The 17,787-nt window shown below is 43.9% G+C and overlaps 1 protein-coding gene, 1 long non-coding RNA gene and 1 pseudogene across 3 annotated transcripts in view; 1 reads left to right on the top strand and 2 right to left on the bottom strand.

The window, feature by feature from the left end:
- The window catches only part of LOC112268076 (translation initiation factor IF-2-like), a 154,152-nt gene that overhangs the window by 67,101 nt on the left and 69,264 nt on the right, over window positions 1-17,787 (top strand). The gene's annotated exons all lie outside the window — the stretch shown is intronic.
- On the bottom strand, window positions 3,324-3,429 carry RNU6-46P (RNA, U6 small nuclear 46, pseudogene; annotated as a pseudogene).
- LINC02754 (long intergenic non-protein coding RNA 2754) lies at window positions 4,964-14,632 on the bottom strand. Of its 2 annotated transcripts, none has more exons than NR_183627.1 (3): window positions 14,032-14,632; window positions 10,736-10,907; window positions 4,964-5,181 (listed from the first exon to the last, which is right to left on the bottom strand). It is a non-coding gene; the product is annotated as a long intergenic non-protein coding RNA 2754 (long non-coding RNA). The 2 variants fall into 2 exon arrangements; NR_183626.1 differs by having other exon boundaries at window positions 14,582-14,632.

Raw genomic sequence — 17,787 nt, 5'->3', positions numbered from 1 at the left:
TCCCAGCACCATTTATTAAATAGGGAATCTTTTCCCCATTTCTTGTTTTTGTCAGGTTTGTCAAAGATCAGATAGTTGTAGATGTGTGGCATTATTTCTGAGGGCTCTGTTCTGTTCCATTAGTCTGTATCTCTGTTTTTGTACCAGTACCATGCTGTTTTGGTTACTGTAGCCTTGTAGTTTGAAGTCAGGTAGTGTGATGCCTCTAGCTTTGTTCTTTTGGCTTAGGATTGACTTGGAAATGTGGGCTCTTTTTTGGTTCCATATGAACTGTAAAGTAGTTTTTTCCAATTCTGTGAAGAAAGTCATTGGTAACTTGTTGGGGATGGCATTGAATCTATAAATTACCTTGGGCAGTATGTCCATTTTCATGATATTGATTCCTCCTAGCCATGAGCATGGAATATTCTTCCATTTGTTTGTATCCTCTTTTATTTCTTTGAGCGGTTGTTTGTAGTTCTCCTTGAAGAGGTCCTTCATGTCCCTTGTAAGTTAGATTCCTCAGTATTTTATTCTCTTTGAAGCAATTGCGAATGGGAGTTCACTCATGATTTGGCTGTTTGTCTGTTATTGGTGTATAAGAATGCTTGTGATTTTTGCACATTGATTTTGTATCCTGAAACTTTGCTGAATTTTGGTATTTTTAGTAGAGATGGGGTTTGCTGAATGCAGCCCCCAGTCACGTACTCCCTGCTTGGTCAATAGATCAAGACCCTCTCATGTGGACACCCTTAGAGTTGTGAGCTCTTAAAAAGGACAGGAATTGCTCACTTGGGGAGCTTGGTTGTTAGAGACATGCACCACCATGCCCAGCTAATTTTTTATTTTTAGTAGAGACGGGGTTTCACCATGTTGGTTGGCCAGGATAGTCTCGATCTCTTGACCTCGTGATCCACCCACCTCGGCCTCCCAAAGTGCTGCGATTACAGGCGTGAGCCACTGCACCCAGCCCAGAGAAGGCTTTTCATACTTGCTTCACAGCCTCCTGCATCCTAACCCAGCACCAGGCACTCACCACCTGTGGGCTGCGCTCATCTGTGATCATCTCTCCCCAGGCCTGCTATTCCTCGAGAAAGGAAGTTGTAATGGGCAGAGTTCTAGGACAGCCCCTAAGAGACCCACTCCCTTATATCTGCTCCCTGTATCATCTCCTCTTCTTGAGTGTGTGCAGAGCTTGTGATTTGGCCAAGAGGAAGGAATTTTGCAAATGTGATTATGGTCACACTTGCTTTGTTAAGCACATTTGCTCAGCTGACTTTGAGTTCATCCAAAGCAGGATGATCTCAGGTGGGCCAGACCTAATCAGGTGAATCTTTTAAAGGTGAAGTTTCAGAGATTGAACCCTTAGCCTCCAAGGAGACACAAATGGCCATGCTGTGAGCTGTCTTTGGAGGTGGCAGCTCTAGGAGTTGAGGACCTTCATTCAACAATTGTAAGTAATTGAATTCAGTTCACAGACTGAATAAGCTTGGAAGAAGACTCTGAGCATCCGATGAGACCCCAGCTCCAACTGACACTCTGGTTGCCATATTGTGACCCTGAATAGAAGACCCAGTTAAACCCTGCCCAGACCCTTGGCTCATGAAAACAGATAATAACTGGGTGGAGTTTTAAGCTGCTCATTTTGCACTGGTAAATCCACCAACAGGAAAGTAATATAGAAGTTAAATGGGCCGGATGTGATGGCTCATGCCTGTAATCCCAACACTTTGGGAGGCTAAGGTGGGTGGATCACAAGGTCAAGAGATGGAGACCATCCTGGCCAACATGGTGAAACCCCGTCTCTACTAAAAATATAAAAATTAACCAGGCGTGGTGACATGCACCTGAAGTCCCAGCTACTCAGGAGTCTGAGGCAGAAGAATCACTTGAACCCAGGAGGTGGAGGTTGCAGTGACCCGGGACCATGCCACTGCACTCCAATCTGGGCAACAGAGAAAGACTCCATCTCAAAAAAAAAAAAGAAAAATTAAATGAATACTTTTGACCGTTGATGGAAGTTACTTTCATTCCCTCTTACTTAATCATCTTTATCTTAGCCCTGAAAGAGGGATGCTTTAACCCCATTTGTAACAAGTGAGTCTGAGGCCCAGGAAAGTGACAGAATTTAGCAAAGTCCACCTTGCCACCTGGTGGCCCCAGCTAGAACTCAGCCCCAGGTCCATATACCTAAAGTCATTACAACATCCACTGAAAATTTGCCCCTCTCTCCATGCCTTCCTCTTTAGAAGCCTGTTCCTTCAGGGATAGATCCCAACCCAGTGTTACAAGGTACTGAACTCTGATTTTCACAAAATATAGTAACTACCCCCCAAAATTAATAATAGTATTTTTGAGCCGGGCACTGTGGTTCATGCCTGTAATCCCAACACTTTGGGAGGCTGAGGTGGGCGGATCATGAGGTCAAGAGATCGAGAGCATCCTGGACAACATGGTGAAACCCCATCTCTACTAAAAATACAAAAATTAGCTGGGAGTGGTGGCAGGCATCTGTAATCCCAGCTACTCAGGAGGCTGAGGCAGGAGAATCGCTTGAACCCAGGAGGCAGAGTTTGCAGTGAGCTGAGATTGCACCACTGCACTCCAGCCTGGCAACAGAGCAAGACTCTGTTTCAAAAAATATATATATATTTTTGAGTCCTTATGTGTCAACCACTGGGCTATCCCAACACCAATAGATATTATGATTATGATTAGTTTTTCCATTTTATTTTTTTATTTATTTATTTTTATTCTTTCTTTCTTTTTTTTTATTATACTTTAAGTTTTAGGGTACATGTGCACATTGTGCAGGTTAGTTACATATGTATACATGTGCCATGCTGGTGCGCTGCACCTACTAACTCGTCATCTAGCATTAGGTATATCTCCCGATGTTCTCCCTCCCCGCTACCCCCACCCCACAACAGTCCCCAGAGTGTGATATTCCCCTTCCTGTGTCCATGTGATCTCATTGTTCAATTCCCACCTATGAGTGAGAATATGCGGTGTTTGGTTTTTTGTTCTTGCGATAGTTTACTGAGAATGATGATTTCCAATTTCATCCATGTCCCTACAAAGGACATGAACTCATCATTTTTTATGGCTGCATAGTATTCCATGGTGTATATGTGCCACATTTTCTTAATCCAGTCTATCATTGTTGGACATTTGGGTTGGTTCCAAGTCTTTGCTATTGTGAATAATGCCGCAATAAACATACGCGTGCATGTGTCTTTATAGCAGCATGATTTAGAGTCCTTTGGGTATATATCCAGTAATGGGATGGCTGGGTCAAATGGTATTTCCAGTTCTAGATCCCTGAGGAATCACCACACTGACTAAAAATATGGAACGCTTCACGAATTTGCGTGTCATCCTTGTGCAGGGGCCATGCTAATCTTCTCTGTATCATTCTAATTTTAGTATATGTGCAGCCGAAGCAAGCACTAGTTTTTCCATTTTATTGATGAGGAAACCAACACATAGAAACGTAAAGGAACTTGCCAAAGGTGACGATCACACAGCCAAAGAACTGTAGAAGCAGCACAGGCATCCCAGCAAACTCACAGCCAAGCTCTGCTTTTCACCTTCACATCATACTGTCCTCAGACTAAAACCCTAACTCTGACCTTCCCAATCAAAAATCATACTCAAGGATGGGTGTGGCAGCTCCCGCCTATCATCTCAGCACTTTGGGAGGCCGAGGCAGGTGGGTCACCTGAGGTCAGGAGTTCCAGACCAGCCAGGCCAACATGGTGAAACCCTATCTCTATTAAAAATACAAAACTTAGCCAGGCGCAGTGGTGGGTGTCTGTAGTCACAGCATTTTGGGAGGCTGAGGCACGAAAATCACTTGAACCCAGGAGGCATAAGTTGCAGTGATCCATGATCATGCCACTGCACTCCAGCCTGGGCAAGAGAGTGAGACTCTGCCTCAAAAAAAAAAAAAAAAAATTGTGCTTAATAATAACTTGGAAGTGCACATATCTTCTGTGAAGTTTGATGGACAACAATTGGCTTCAAAACACAAATAAGTAACTGTGTTTAAATGAGGCCTTCTGTGTAAAAGCTAAGGAAAATCAATGTAGCTATTCATATTTTGATTCCCCTTCCAGGCACAGAGAAGTTGCCCATGTCTCTGTGATCTGCTTTGTCCAATGAACCATGAGCAAGAGCAACTTGAGTCACCTCCAGGTGGAAGTGTTAAAAGGCTGTGTGATCCACCACATTCCCTTTCCCCTGAAGTGGTGATCAAGGACACATTCAGAGATGGGGCTTTTGTCAGCCTGGATCCCTGAGTGAACACAATGAACAGACCACCCCACAATGCCCTAACACAGCCCAGACATGCAACGTGACCAAGAATAAGCCTCACTGTGGCCAGGCATGGTGGCTCATGCCTGTCATCCCAGCACTTTGGGAGGCCAAGGCGGGTGGATCATTTCAGGTCAGGAGTTCAAGATCAGCCTGGCTAACATGGTGATATCCTGTCTCTACTAAAGTACAAAAATTAGTGAGACAGTAGTGGCACAGGCCTGTAATCCCAGCTACTCAGGAGGCAGGAGAATCGCTTGAGTCTGGGAGGCAGAGGTTGCAGTGAGCTGAGGTTGCACCATTGCACTCTAGTCTGGGTGACAGAGTGAGACCCTGTCTGAAAAAACAAACAAACAAACAAATACCTCACTATATGAATCCACTGAGATTTGGGGATTGTTGTTACTGCACCAGAACCCAAATCATCCTGACTGCTAGACTGTCCTAACTAGGGTTTCTTACCAAAAGCAAAGGCATTTTTAAAGTTCATGACATTTAAACAAAAGAGCAAATACTAATGTCTGCCACTTTGTCAGGCTAACAAACCCAAACAAAGCCAACAGCCAGAAGTTAAAAGAAACAGATCATTAGGTTGAAAACAGAACTGTCAAAACAGGCACAATTGACTTCATTTAGTGATTGCAAAGAACATCAGGCAACACACAGGTGTGGTCATCATATCATTTATCACATGCTTAATTGCACATGTTTGACTAAGAAAAACACAAAGTATTTAAACTCATCTGTAGCTCAAAGTGCCTATCCATGTATTTATCCATTCATCCTGATTTATTTATTGAGCAACTCTTTTGTGCCAGGCACTGTGCTTGGTGGTGGTAATGCAATGATGAAGATGGCAGACACAGCTCTGCCCTCCAGGAGTTTCTAGGGTATGGAGGGAGACAAAAAATAAGTAAATCCATGTAAGAACTATTGATGGAACCTGCCCCCAATATTTCAACATAGGTTCTTTCCATTTTCCATAAGTGTCAGCCAGCTGAGAAATAAAGAGAGACACTACAAAGAGAGGAATTTTACAGCTGGGCCGCTGGAGGTGACAGTACATATCAGTAAGTCTGTGCTGCCTGCTGAGTCTCAGACCAGCAAGTTTTTATTAAGGGTTTCAAAATGGGAGGGGCTGTAAGAACAGGGAGTAGGTACAAAGATCACATGCTTCAAAGGGCAAAAAGCAGAACTACTACTAAGGGTCTAAGAAAGATCACATGCTTCTGAGGGAACAGGACAAAGGGCAAAAGCAGAACTACTGATAAAGGTCCAGCAAAGATCACAAAGCAAAGGGCAAAAGCAGAACCACTGATAAGGGTCTATGTTCAGTGGTGCACGTATTGTCTTAATAAACATCTTAAACAACAGAAAACAGGGTTCGAGAGCAGAGAACCAGTATGACCACAAATTTACCAGGGCAGAGTTTTTCGCCCTAGTAAGCCTTTGGGTACTGCAGGAGACCAGGGCATATCTCAGTCCTTATCTCAACTGCATAAGACAGACATTCCCAGAGCGGCCATTTATAGACCTCCCCCCAGGAATGCGTTCCTTTCCCAGGGTATTAATATTAATATTCCTTGCTAGGAAAAGAATTTAGTAATATCTGTCCTACTTGCACGTCCATTTATAGACTCCGTGCAAGAAACATATGGCTCCTTTTGCCCAACCCTGCAGTAAGTCAGACTTTATGGTTGTTTTCCCTTGTTCCCTAAAAATTGCTGTTATTCTCTTCTTTTTCAAGGTGCACTGATTTCATATTGTTGAAACACACATGTTTTACAATCAATTTGTACAGTTAACACAATTATCACAGTGGTCCTGAGGTGATGTACATCCTCAGCTTATGAATATAACAGGATTAAGAGATTAAAATAAAGACAGGCATAAGAAAGTATAAAAGTATTATTTGGGAACTGATAAATATCCATGAAATCTTCACAATTTATGTTCCTCTGCCATGGCTTCAGCCAGTCCCTCCATTTGGGGTCCCTGACTTCCCGCAACAAGAAATAATGAGGTTAAGGTGGAGAAGAGCAGGGAAGTCCACTTTATAAAGGGGTCAGGAAAGAGCTGTCTGGAAGCACCATTTTAGCTGAGACCTAAAGGATGGTCTAATTTGGGGAGGTGCAGAGGAAAATCATTCCAGGCTGAAGCAGCAAGTGCAAAGGCCCTGTTGTGGAGAAAGGTTTGAAAGTCAAAGAAAACAGAAGGAGGCCAGAGTGGCTGAAATAGAGTAGGCCAAGGGGAGGAGATAGGAGAGAGCTGGAGAGGTGGCAGGAACAGGCAGAAGACTCGGGGTCTCGATTTTATTCTATGTGCCATGGGCAGGAAAGGCAGGGATGAGACTCAATGGACACCTTAAGATCACTGAAGCTGCTAGGTAGGAAATGGATTGCTGAGCATGGAGAGCAGGTGCAGAGGACCAGTTAAGACCAGTTAGGAGGCTGCTGCTGTAGCCCAGCTGGGATAGCGGTGTCCTAGGCAAAGATAATGACAGTGAAGATAGAGAGAGTGGACAAGTTGGATAAAGTTTAGAATCACAGGACTTCTGACTGGAGAAGAGGGCAAAAGCAGAGTTAGCACAACACATGAGTTATGACCACCTTGAGCAGCTCAGCAGGGGGTGGTGCCATTTACAGAACAGAGATGGCACGGACAGAGCCCATGGAGAAGGAGGAGGAAAAAGAGTTTTGCTTTTGTTTTTTTTTTAAGACAGGGACTTTGGCTCTGTCACCCAGGCTGGAGTGCATTGGTGCAATCATAGCTCTTTGCAGCCTCAAACTCCTGGGCTCAAGTGATCCTCCTGCCTCAGCCTGCCATGTAACAGGACTACAGATCCTACAGATGCACTTCACCATGCCTAGCTTTTTTTTTTTTTTTTTTTTTTTTTTTTGTAGATAGGGAGTCTCACTGTGTTTTCCAGGCTGGCTTCAAACTCCTGACCTCAAGTAATCCTCCCACCTCAGCCTCCCATAGCACTGGGATTACAGCCATCACCTACCACTCCAAGCCATGAGTTTGGCTTTGGATTTAACAAGGTTGAGGTGTTCATGAGTTGACAAGTGGAAAAAACAAGAAAGAAGTTGAGTGTTTAAGACTGCTGTTTGAAGGAGAAGTCTAACCTCAAGACAAAAGTTCAGGACTCATCAGCTGAGAAATGGCACTGAAAATTATGCAAATGGATGAGTTCAGCTAGCAAACAAGTCCAGAGAGAGCAGCACTGGGCTACGCACCTGGCCTAATGCCACCCCACTCCTCCCAATCCGTGTGTTATGCTGGAGAGGGTTCAGCCTCTGGTGAGTTTCACCAAACCGCCACATCTCTTTCTTCTGAGACCTTCTCTAAAATCCCCTCTTTTATACTTAGTGAAATGGGATTCTCTTTTTCCCATCCAGCTTAGGCAAATACTTTTGACTATGAGAAGAATGAGGATGCATTTAATATCTGTTCTGCATGGCTAATTCCATCAAAGATTTCTCATTATTCATGCCTGGCAGTCTCATTTTCTTCTTTTGCCTCTAAGAGCACAGTTGTAGCCTTAATTACTGACCTTTTCACTCTTCTAATACCAGTGATTTTCCCCATCTTAGTTCTCAGGAAGTTCTTTTCGCAGAATTATCTCCTGAATCCTCACCTGGAGATAGAAATTGTTCTCTGGCTATTTCTTCCCCCTCTAATTCTTATCAAAAAACTCAGTGATCTCTGTGCATCAAATATTAAACTCAAGCTTAACAGATCGTGATTCTGACTTCTCTCTCTCTCCGGCCTGTGGGTTAACAGGTTTGCAACCTTTGCAGGGAAGACACCAAATTCTCAGGAGGCCAGAGTTTCCAAGGGTACTGGTCACTCTTGCTCTCTTTCTCCTGCTCAAAATTCAGCACTAGAGTGTGTTACACCATTGCACCTGCAGAGGAGTTCATCTGACTCTAGGGACTACAGAGGAGAGAGATGGACAAACTAACAGGCGTTCAGAAAATGACTACCACAATGGGGGAAAAAATGAAAGTCAAACCAAATAAGCAACGATCAAAAAAAAAAAAATCTAGAGGCCAGCTGCAGTGGCTCACACCTGTAATCCCAGCACTTTGGGAGGCCGAGGCAGGTGGATCACTTGAGATCAGGAGTTCGAGACCAGCCTAGGCAACATAGTGAAATCACATCTCTACTAAAAATACAAAAATTAGCCAGGTGTGGTGGTGGGCAGCTGTAATCCCAGCATTTTGGGAGGCTGAGGTGGTTGGATCACCTGATGTCAGGAGTTTGAGACCAGCCTGGCCAACAAGGTGAAACCCTATTTCTATTAAAAAATACAAAAATTAACCAGGTGTGGTGGCAGGTGCCTGTAATCCCAGCTACTTGGGAGGCTGAGGCAGGAGAATTGCTTGAACCCAGGAGGCAGAGGTTGCTGAAGAGAATACTCCAGAGCAGAGGTTGGGACACTAATGCCCATGGGCCAAATCTGACCTGCTTGTGCATGTGTTTGTCAATAAAGTTTTATTGAAACACAGTCATGTCCATTTGCTACATATTGTCTATGGCTGCTGGATTTGGCTGTTCTCTCATGCTATAAAGAAATACCTGAGACTGGGCAATATATAAAGAGCTTTAATTGGCTCACAGTTTTGTAGGCTATACAGGGAGCATGACACTGACATCTGCTGAGCTTCTGTGGAGGCCTCAGGAAACTTACTTACAATGATGGCAGAAGGTGAAGTGGGAGCAAGAGAGTAAGGAGGGAGGTGCTACACACTCGTAAACAACCAGATCTTGCAAGAACTCACTCACTATTGCAAGGACAGGACCAAAGGGATGAGGCTAAATCATTCATGAGAAATCCACCCCCATGATCCAATCTCTTCCCACCAGACCCCACCTCTAACACTGGGGATTGCAACATGAGTTTTGGGTGGGGACTCATATTCAACTATATCAGCTGCTTTCATGCTATGGGTGGCAGAGTTGAGCAACTACTATAAGAGACTGTATGGCCCACGAATTCGAAAATATTTACTATCTGATGCTTTCAAGAAAAAGTTTGCAAACCCTGCTCTTGAAAAGGAAGGGAAGGAAGAGGAGAGGAGGAAGGCAGGAAGGAGCAGAAAGGGTCACGGGGCTGTATTCAAACATCTGTTGTTAAGAAAGAGAAATTCAATTTATTTGGCATGGTCCAAGTTATCAAACTAGGAGCACTCCATTGAAGTTTCAGGACAAACGCTGTGCTGAATATAAGGATGACCCCATCTGTAATGCCTAACCTTGTTTTTATTAACTTTGTTCTTAGACTTTCCTTTTCTTTTAATCACTTAGCCTTGTTTCTACCTGAATTGACTTTCTTTTAGCTAAGAGAGCTAGATAGATTTTATCTTGGCCTTTTCACTGACAGCCCCTTCCTCAAGGACTTAACTTGTGCAAGCTGACTCTTAGCACATCTAAGAATGCAATTAACTCATAAGATACTGTGGCGAGCAATATCCGCAGTTCCTAGGAATTTGTCCGATTGATAATGCCTAAAGCCCCACGTCTATCACTTTGTAATAGTCTTAAAGCCCTTACACCTAGAACTGTTTACTTTCCTGTAACAATTTATCCTTTTAACTTTTTTGCCTACTTTACTTCTGTAAAATTCTTTTAACTAGACCCGTTTCCCCTGTCTAAACTGAAGTATAAAAGAAAATCTAGCCCTTTCTTCGGGGCCAAGAGAACTTTAAGAGTTAGCCATTTCTTGGCCGTCAGCTAAATAAACAGACTCTTAATTCATGTCAAAGTGTGACATTTTCTCTAACTCGCTCAAGTACAACATTCGGAGGCCCCAGCAAGAAACGCCACCAGGCAAGAGCCGGGCTCGCTCTGGGCTCCCCCAGAAGGCCGGCCGGCTTGTAGGGGGGGTGCCACCTGAAAAAAAATTTTTAGGTCCCCGAAAGGTGACCGTCTTTCAGAGGAGAGCGGATCGACTACCGTGTGGGTGTCCATAAAAATTCCACATCTGAGTCCTCGACTTCTGACCCTGAGGTCAGGTAGGTCAGATTTGACTTCAGTTCTAGTAAGAGGGAAGCGGCCCTGATGAGGGTGTCCCTCTTTTGACTCTGCCTGTTTCTCTAGGACGCTAGAAGGTAGAGCCCTGGTTTTCTGTTAGGCACCTCTGTGTCTCTTTCTAGGAGGGAAGTGGCTCTGACAGCGGCCCTCCCTTGACTCAGTCCACATCCCAGGATGCTGGAGGACTGAGTCCTGGTTTCTGGCAGACCGGTCACTCTCTCTCTCTTTCTATCTCTCATCTTTCTCTTGTTCAAGTTTCTTGAAGAATCTCCAAGAAAGAAAAAAAAAAAAACTGTTATATACTCTGTGTGAATAATGAATGAGTGAGGACAAGGGCTTGCGCTTGTCCTCCAGTTTGTAGCTCCACGGCTAAAGCTACGGAGTTCAAGTAGACCCTCACCTGCGGTTCCGTGGCGACCTCATAAGGCTTAAGGCAGCATCAGGCATAGCTTGATCTGAGCCGGAAGTTTATACCAGCCTGCCAATGTTAAGAGGAGCCCAAGTCCCCTCAGGGGGAGCGGCCAGGCAGGCATCTGACTGATCCCATCACAGGAGCCCCTCCCCTTGTCTGTCTGAAAAAAAAAAAAAAAAGGAAGAAACTGTCATAACTGTTTACATGCCCTAAAGTCAATTGTTTGTTTTATGTTGATTGTTCTGTTCAGTGTCTATTGTCTTGTTAGTAGTTGTCAAAGTTTTGCATGTTAAGACGTTGATATTGCCCAAGACGTCTAAGTAAAAACTTCTTCAAAGTCCTTAGTGCTGATTTTTTGTCACAGGAGGTTAAATTTCTCATCAATCATTTAGGCTGGTCACCACAGTCCTGTCTTTTCTGCCAGAAGCAAATCAAGTGTTGTTACAAGAACAAGTGTGAAAAACATTTCCCTAATTAAGATTTCTAGCACCATGAAAGTTGTAAGTATTTAGATCATCATATTCCACGTACAAGTGATTAGACGTCCTCTAAACTAAACCAGTAGTGAATTCAAAACAGCCACCCTGTAGATTTCCTTGCTCACCTCTCTTGTCATTCTGTAACTTTTCCTGTGCCCTTCAGTAGAACACCGTGTAAAGAAATGTACGCCCGTACTGCTTTACCTCGTTTAGATTCTTACTCTGCTCCTCTGTGGCTACTCTCCCATCTTAAAAATGATCCGAGTAGTCCTTTTCCGCCTTGTCCCTGCCCCCTATCCTGCACATCTCGTTTTCTGGTGCGACAGCAAGTTCACCGTCTCCAGGACTTGGCTCTGTTCTCACTCCTTAAACCCTTAAAAGAAAAAGCTAAGTTTAAGCTATTTGCCTTTAAGTCATAAAGACACCAAAAGTATTTAAAGCGCAGATCTAGAAGAAGAAGAAGAACGCCTAGATCAAACTGACCCAGAAGATCTCAGGCTGGCTCTAGTCCTCCTCCCTCAATCTTAAAGCTACAGCAATGTAGCAAGTAGTATTAGCTGTTTTAAGTTTTTCTGCTCTTTCTAGTCATATTGATTCTGTTCTTTCACTATGCCAGTCCCCCAAGAAATAAGTTTCTCTGTCCATGCTAAGTTTAATATCTATGCTCAAATCTTATTAAATTGCCTTAAAAAAAAAAATAAGAAACACTTCCTCCCAGCCTTGTAAAGTTAAAGCCCTCTCCAATGTATGCTGCAGAATTTTTCTCTCAGTTCAGAGGATTATAAAGTCCGCCTTAAAAAAGGTAAGCTCCAGACACTCTGCAAAATAAAATGGCCAAAGTTTAAAGTCAAGTGGCCCCCTGAAGGGTCATTGAACCTCACAACTGTTCAAGCTGTGTGGCAGGTTGTTACTGAAACTCCTAGCCACCCTGATCAGTTTCTCTACATTGATCAATAGCTAAGTTTAGTCAGGATCCACTCTCCATGGCTCCGTTCATGAGCCATTCATAATTCTACCTCCAAGGTCCTCCTAAGCCAGACCGAGTTTTCGCCTCGACCCTCAGCCAGTTCAGCTCCCCCTGTACTGCCTCCCTCTGAAGAAGAGGAGAGTCTCCCTCACCCAGTCCCACCGCCTTACAACCAACCTTCTCCCTTAAAGTTATCCCATGTCTGCTCGACGACGTCCCCTGTAGACTCGCCACCCGTTGCCTCTCAATCATGACCGTGGCAGGAAGAAGTAGCCCCTCTACTACCACTGAGAGAGGCACAAGTCCCTCCAGGTGACGAGCGCTCAGCACCCTTCTTAGTTTGTGTCCCTTTTTCTACTTCTGACTTATGTAATTAGAAAACCCATAATCCTCCCTTCTCTGAAAAGCCCCAGGCTTTGACCTCTCTGACAGAGTCTGTACTCTGGACTCACCCGCCCACCTAAGATGATTGCCAACAGCTCCTTTTAACCCTTTTCACCTCTGAAAAGAAAGAACGTATCCAAAAAGAAGCCAAAAAGTACTTCCTCACATCAGCCAATAGACCGGAAGAAGAAGCTAGAAACCTCCTTGAGGAGGTCTTTCCCTCTACCCGGCCTAACTGGGACCCAAATTCCTCAAGTAGAAAGAGAGCTTTAGACGATTTTCACCGGTATCTCCTCGCAAGTATTAAAAGAGCCGCTCAGAAACCCATAAACTTGTCTAAGACGACCGACGTTGTCCAAAGGCCCGATAAGTCACCAAGAACGTTTTTAGAGCGCCTCCAGGAGGCTTATCGGATTTACACCCCTTTTGACCCGGCAGCTCCCGAAAATAGCCGTGCTCTTAATTTAGCATTTGTGGCTCAGACAGCCCCGGATATTAAAAAGAAACTCCAAAAACTAGAAAGATTTGCTAGAATAAATATCAGTCAGCTTTTAGAAATAGTCCAAAAAGCTTTTGACCATCAAAAGGTTAAAAAACAAAAACAACACAGGCAGCTGAAAAGGCCGCTGATAAATCATTCAAAAGACAAACAAAAATCTTAGTGGCGGCTATCCAAGAAGTGCAGAATGAAATAGCCCATTAATTTAGCATTAACTGAAGCCCCTGCTTTAGCCCTCCCTAATATCTCCATAAAAGCCAAGGAGTTGCTAAAGAGGTGCTGACTCAGGCTCTAAGACCCTAAAGATGCCCAGTGGCCTATTTATCTAAGAGGCTAGATCCTGTGGCCTCTAGATGGCCAAGTTGTCTGCGAGCCATAGAGGCTACAGCAAGCCTAGTCCAAGAAGATGATAAGTTAACTCTAAGCCAAAATTTAACCCTTACAGCTCCTCATGCTGTAAAGACCTTACTACGAAGTGCTTCTGGCAAATAGATGTCAAATGCTCGCATCTTGCAGTTTCGAAGTTTACTGTTAGATCAGCCTGGTTTGACTTTCTCTCCCACAAAGTGTTTCAATCCAGCTTCGCTACATCCTGACCCAGACTGCACTATTCCTGCTCATGACTGTCAAGAACTGTTAGAAACTATCGAAACTGGCCCATCTGATCTTCAAGATGTGCCCCTGGAAAAGGCAGATGCCGCCGTGTTCACAGACAGGAGCAGCTTCCTCAAGCAGGAAGTATTAAAAGCCAGTGCAGCTGTTACCACGGAGACAGATGTGTTGTAAGCTCAAGCTTTACCAGCGAACACCTCAGCACAAAAGGCTGAATTGATCGCCCTCACTCAGGCTCTCCGATAAAGTAGAATAAACGTATTAACATTTACAGTGACAGCAAGTACGCCTTTGCTACTGTGCATGTACATAAAGCCATCTACCAGGAAAGCAGGCTACTCACCTCAGCAGATAGCTGTGATCCACTGCAAAGGACATCAAAAAGAAAACACGGCTTTGCCCATAGTAACTAGAAAGCTGATTCAGCAGCTCAGGTCGCAGCGCAACTTTCAGTCACGCCTCTAAACTTGCTGCCCACAGTCTCCTTTCCTCAGCCAGATCTGCCTGACAATCCCGTATACTCAACAACAACAACAACAAAAAAACTGGCTTCAGATCTCAGAGCCAATAAAAATCAGGAAAGTTAGTAGATTCTTCCTGACTCTAGAATCTTCATATCCTGAACTCTTAAAGAAACTTTAATCAGTCACCTGCAGTCTACCACCCACTTAAAAAGAGCAAAGCTACCTCAGCTCCTCCGGAGCCATTTTAAGATCCCCCGTCTTCAAAGCCTATCAGATTAAGCCGCTCTCCAGTGCACAACCTGCACCCAAGTAAATGCCAAACAAAGTCCTAAACCCAGCCCAGGCCACTGTCTCTGAAAAAACTCGCCGAGAAAAAAGTAAGAAATTGACTTTACAGAAGTCAAACCACACCAGGCTAAGTACAAATACCTTCTAGTACTAGTAGACACCTTCTCCAGATAGACTAAGGCATTTGCTACCGAAAACGAAACCACCAACACAGTAGTTAAGTTTTTACGCAATGAAATCATCCCTCAATATAGGCTGCCTGCTGCCATAAAGTCTGATAATAGAGCAGCCTTCACCTCGCCTATAGCTCAGTCAGTCAGTAAGGCGTTAAACGTTCAATAGAAGCTCCATTGTGCCTCTATTGCCTGGAGCTCTATCAGCCCCAGAGTTCCAGGCAAGTAGAAAGCGTGAACCACACCCTAAAAAACACTCCTACAAAATTAATCTTAAAAACCGGTGTAAATTAAGTAAGTCTCCTTCCTTTAGCCCTACTTAAAGTAAGGTGCACCCCTTACCAGGCTAAGTTCTCACCCTTTGAAATCATGTATAAGAAGGCGCTGCCTATCTTGCCTAAGCTAAGGGATGCCAAATTAGCAGAAATATCACAAACTAATTTATTACAGTACCTATAGTCTCTCCAACTGGTACAAGAGATCATCCTGCCACTTGTTCGAGGAGCCCATCCCAATCCAGTTCCTGACCAGAAAAAGTCCTGCCATTCATTCCAGCCAGGAGACCTAGCGTTTGTTAAAAAGTTCCAAAAAGAAAGACTCACTCCTGCTTAGAAAAGACCTCACACCGTCATCCTCACGACGCCAGCTGCTCTGAAAGTAGATGGCATTCCTGCCTAGATTCATCACTCCCGCATCAAAAAGGCCAACAGAGCCCAACTAAAAACATAAGTCCCCAGGCCTAAGTCAGGCCCCTTAAAACTGCGCCTAAGTCAGGTGAAGCCATTAGATACATTCTTTTTACTACCTCACTTATTTGTTTTTGCCAGTTACGTCCTCTGTACCTTCCTACTCCTTTCTCCTCACCTCTTTCACAACAGGACGTGTATTTGCAAACACCACTTAGAAGGCCAGTACCTCCAAGGAAGTCTCCTTTGCAGTTGATTTATTTGTACTATTCCCAAAGCCAGTCCATACCCACGAAAAACAACACAATCTGCCAGTCCCAGGAGCAGGAAGTGTCAACCTTGCAGCAAGATTCAGACACTCCAAGAGCCAAACTAAGTGTAGAAGCTCCAAAAGTGCAGAAAAAAGACTCCAAAATATTGACTTTTACCTCTGTCCTAGAAATCACCCTGATGCTAGCTGTCAAGATACTTATCAGTTTTTCTGCCCTGATTAGACACGTGTAACTTTAGCCACCTACTCTAAAAGATCAACCAGATCTTCAACTCTTTCCATAAGTCGTGCTTCTCATCCTAAATTATGTACTAGAAAAATTGTAATCCTCTTACTATAGCTGTCCATGACCTTAATTCAACTCAATAGTATCATGGCATGTCATGAAGATTAAGATTCTATATCCCAGGATTTAATGTTAAGTCTATGTTCACTATCCAAAAAAACCCTAGTCTCATAAAGCCCACCCAAGCCAATCAGGCCTTTAACTGATCTAAGTAACCCTATGTTCCAGAAACACCCTGACAAAGTTGATTTAACTGTTCCTCCACCATTCTTAGTCATAAAAGATACACTCCAGAAAGTGCAAGAAAATCTAGATAAGCGCCAACAAGAACAAGAAAATAACATCCCCTAGTATCAAAGCATGTTCAACTAGAACCCAGAGCTAACTATTCTAATTACTAAGTTAGCCAGACCCCCTCCCCATCCTAGTATTAAGTCTAATTTTTGGACCTTGTATATTAAATTAGTTTATTAATTTTGTAAAACAACACATAGCTTCTGTCAAACTTATGTATCTTAAAACTCAATATAAACCCCTTGTTATAACTAAAGAATCAACGATTTGATTCCCCAAAAACACAATGAGGAATGTAATGCCCAACCTTGTTTTTACTAACCCTGTTTTTAGACTCTCCCTTTCTTTTAATCACCTAGCCTTGTTTCCACCTGAATTGACTCTCCCTTAGCTACGAGAGCCAGACATACTCCATCTTGGCTCTTTCACTGGCAGCCCCTTCCTCAAGGACTTAACTTGTGCAAGCTGACTCCCAGCACATCGAAGAATGCAATTAACTGATAAGAAACTGTGGCGAGCAATATCCGCAGTTCCCAGGAATTCGTCCAATTGATAACGCCCAAAGCCCCGCGTCTATCACCTTGTAATAGTCTTAAAGCCCCTAGACCTAGAACTGTTTACTTTCCTTAACAATTTATCCTTTTAACTTTTTTGCCTACTTCTGTAAAATTGTTTTAACTAGACCCCCTCCCCTTTCTAAACCAAAGTATAAAAGAAAATCTAGCCTCTACTTCGAGGTCGAGAGAACTTTAAACGTTAGCCATTTCTTAGCCGCTGGCTAAATAAACAGACTCTTAATTCGTCTCAAAGTGTAGCGTTTTCTCTAACTCGCTCGAGTACAACAAATCCAGCAGGCACGTCATCCACTCTAAAATGCCATCCTGGGGTAGTGAAGATGATGTTGCTGGAAATATCCTTAAATGGCATGTGGATGAGTTCCCCCAGAGGCATACCTGTTGAGCTAAGTACTTTGCTGATGAAGGGTACAAGTTGAAGGGGTTTTGAACGGCAGAGTGAGGTTCCTCAGAAGGCTGTTGCTACAGAAAGCCAGGAGGAGAAATTACATGGCCAGATAGAGTGGCATGACTATCGGATAAGGACTTTTTGTTTGTTTTTGAGATGGAGTTTTACTCTTGTTGCCCAGGCAGGAGTGCAATAGCACGATCTCAGCTCACCGCAACCTACGCCTCCCAGGTTCAAGAGATTCTCCTGCCTCAGCCTCCCTAGTAGCTGGGATTACAGGCATGTGCCACCACGCCCAGCTAATTGTGTATTTTTTGTAGAGATGGGGTTTCTCCATGTTGGTCAGGCTGGTCTTGAACTCCCGACCTCAGGTGATCCGTCCACCTCGGCCTCCCAAATTGCTGGGATTACAGGCGTGAGTCACCGTGCCCAGCCTGGATGAGGGTCTTTAGCAAAGATGGAAGTTTTTGTACCTTGCAGTTCAGTCTCTTCATTTATGTCCTCCTGAAATCTTCAGGAATAGCACTATTTTGTCAATACTTCTGGGGTCGTACTTAGGGGGACTTAAAGGAGATGTGATGTGGCAGCCTTTGACTCAAGGGAGTGTCATACTAGCTCAAAGAGATCTGGGTACATGCCAGTTGAACCAACTCTTCTGAGGATGTGATAGATCC

The sequence above is a fragment of the Homo sapiens genome, chromosome 11 (assembly GCF_000001405.40).
Source record: "Homo sapiens chromosome 11, GRCh38.p14 Primary Assembly".
Classification (NCBI taxonomy): Eukaryota; Metazoa; Chordata; class Mammalia; order Primates; family Hominidae; genus Homo; species Homo sapiens.
This window is presented reverse-complemented; position numbering and strand designations above follow the sequence as displayed.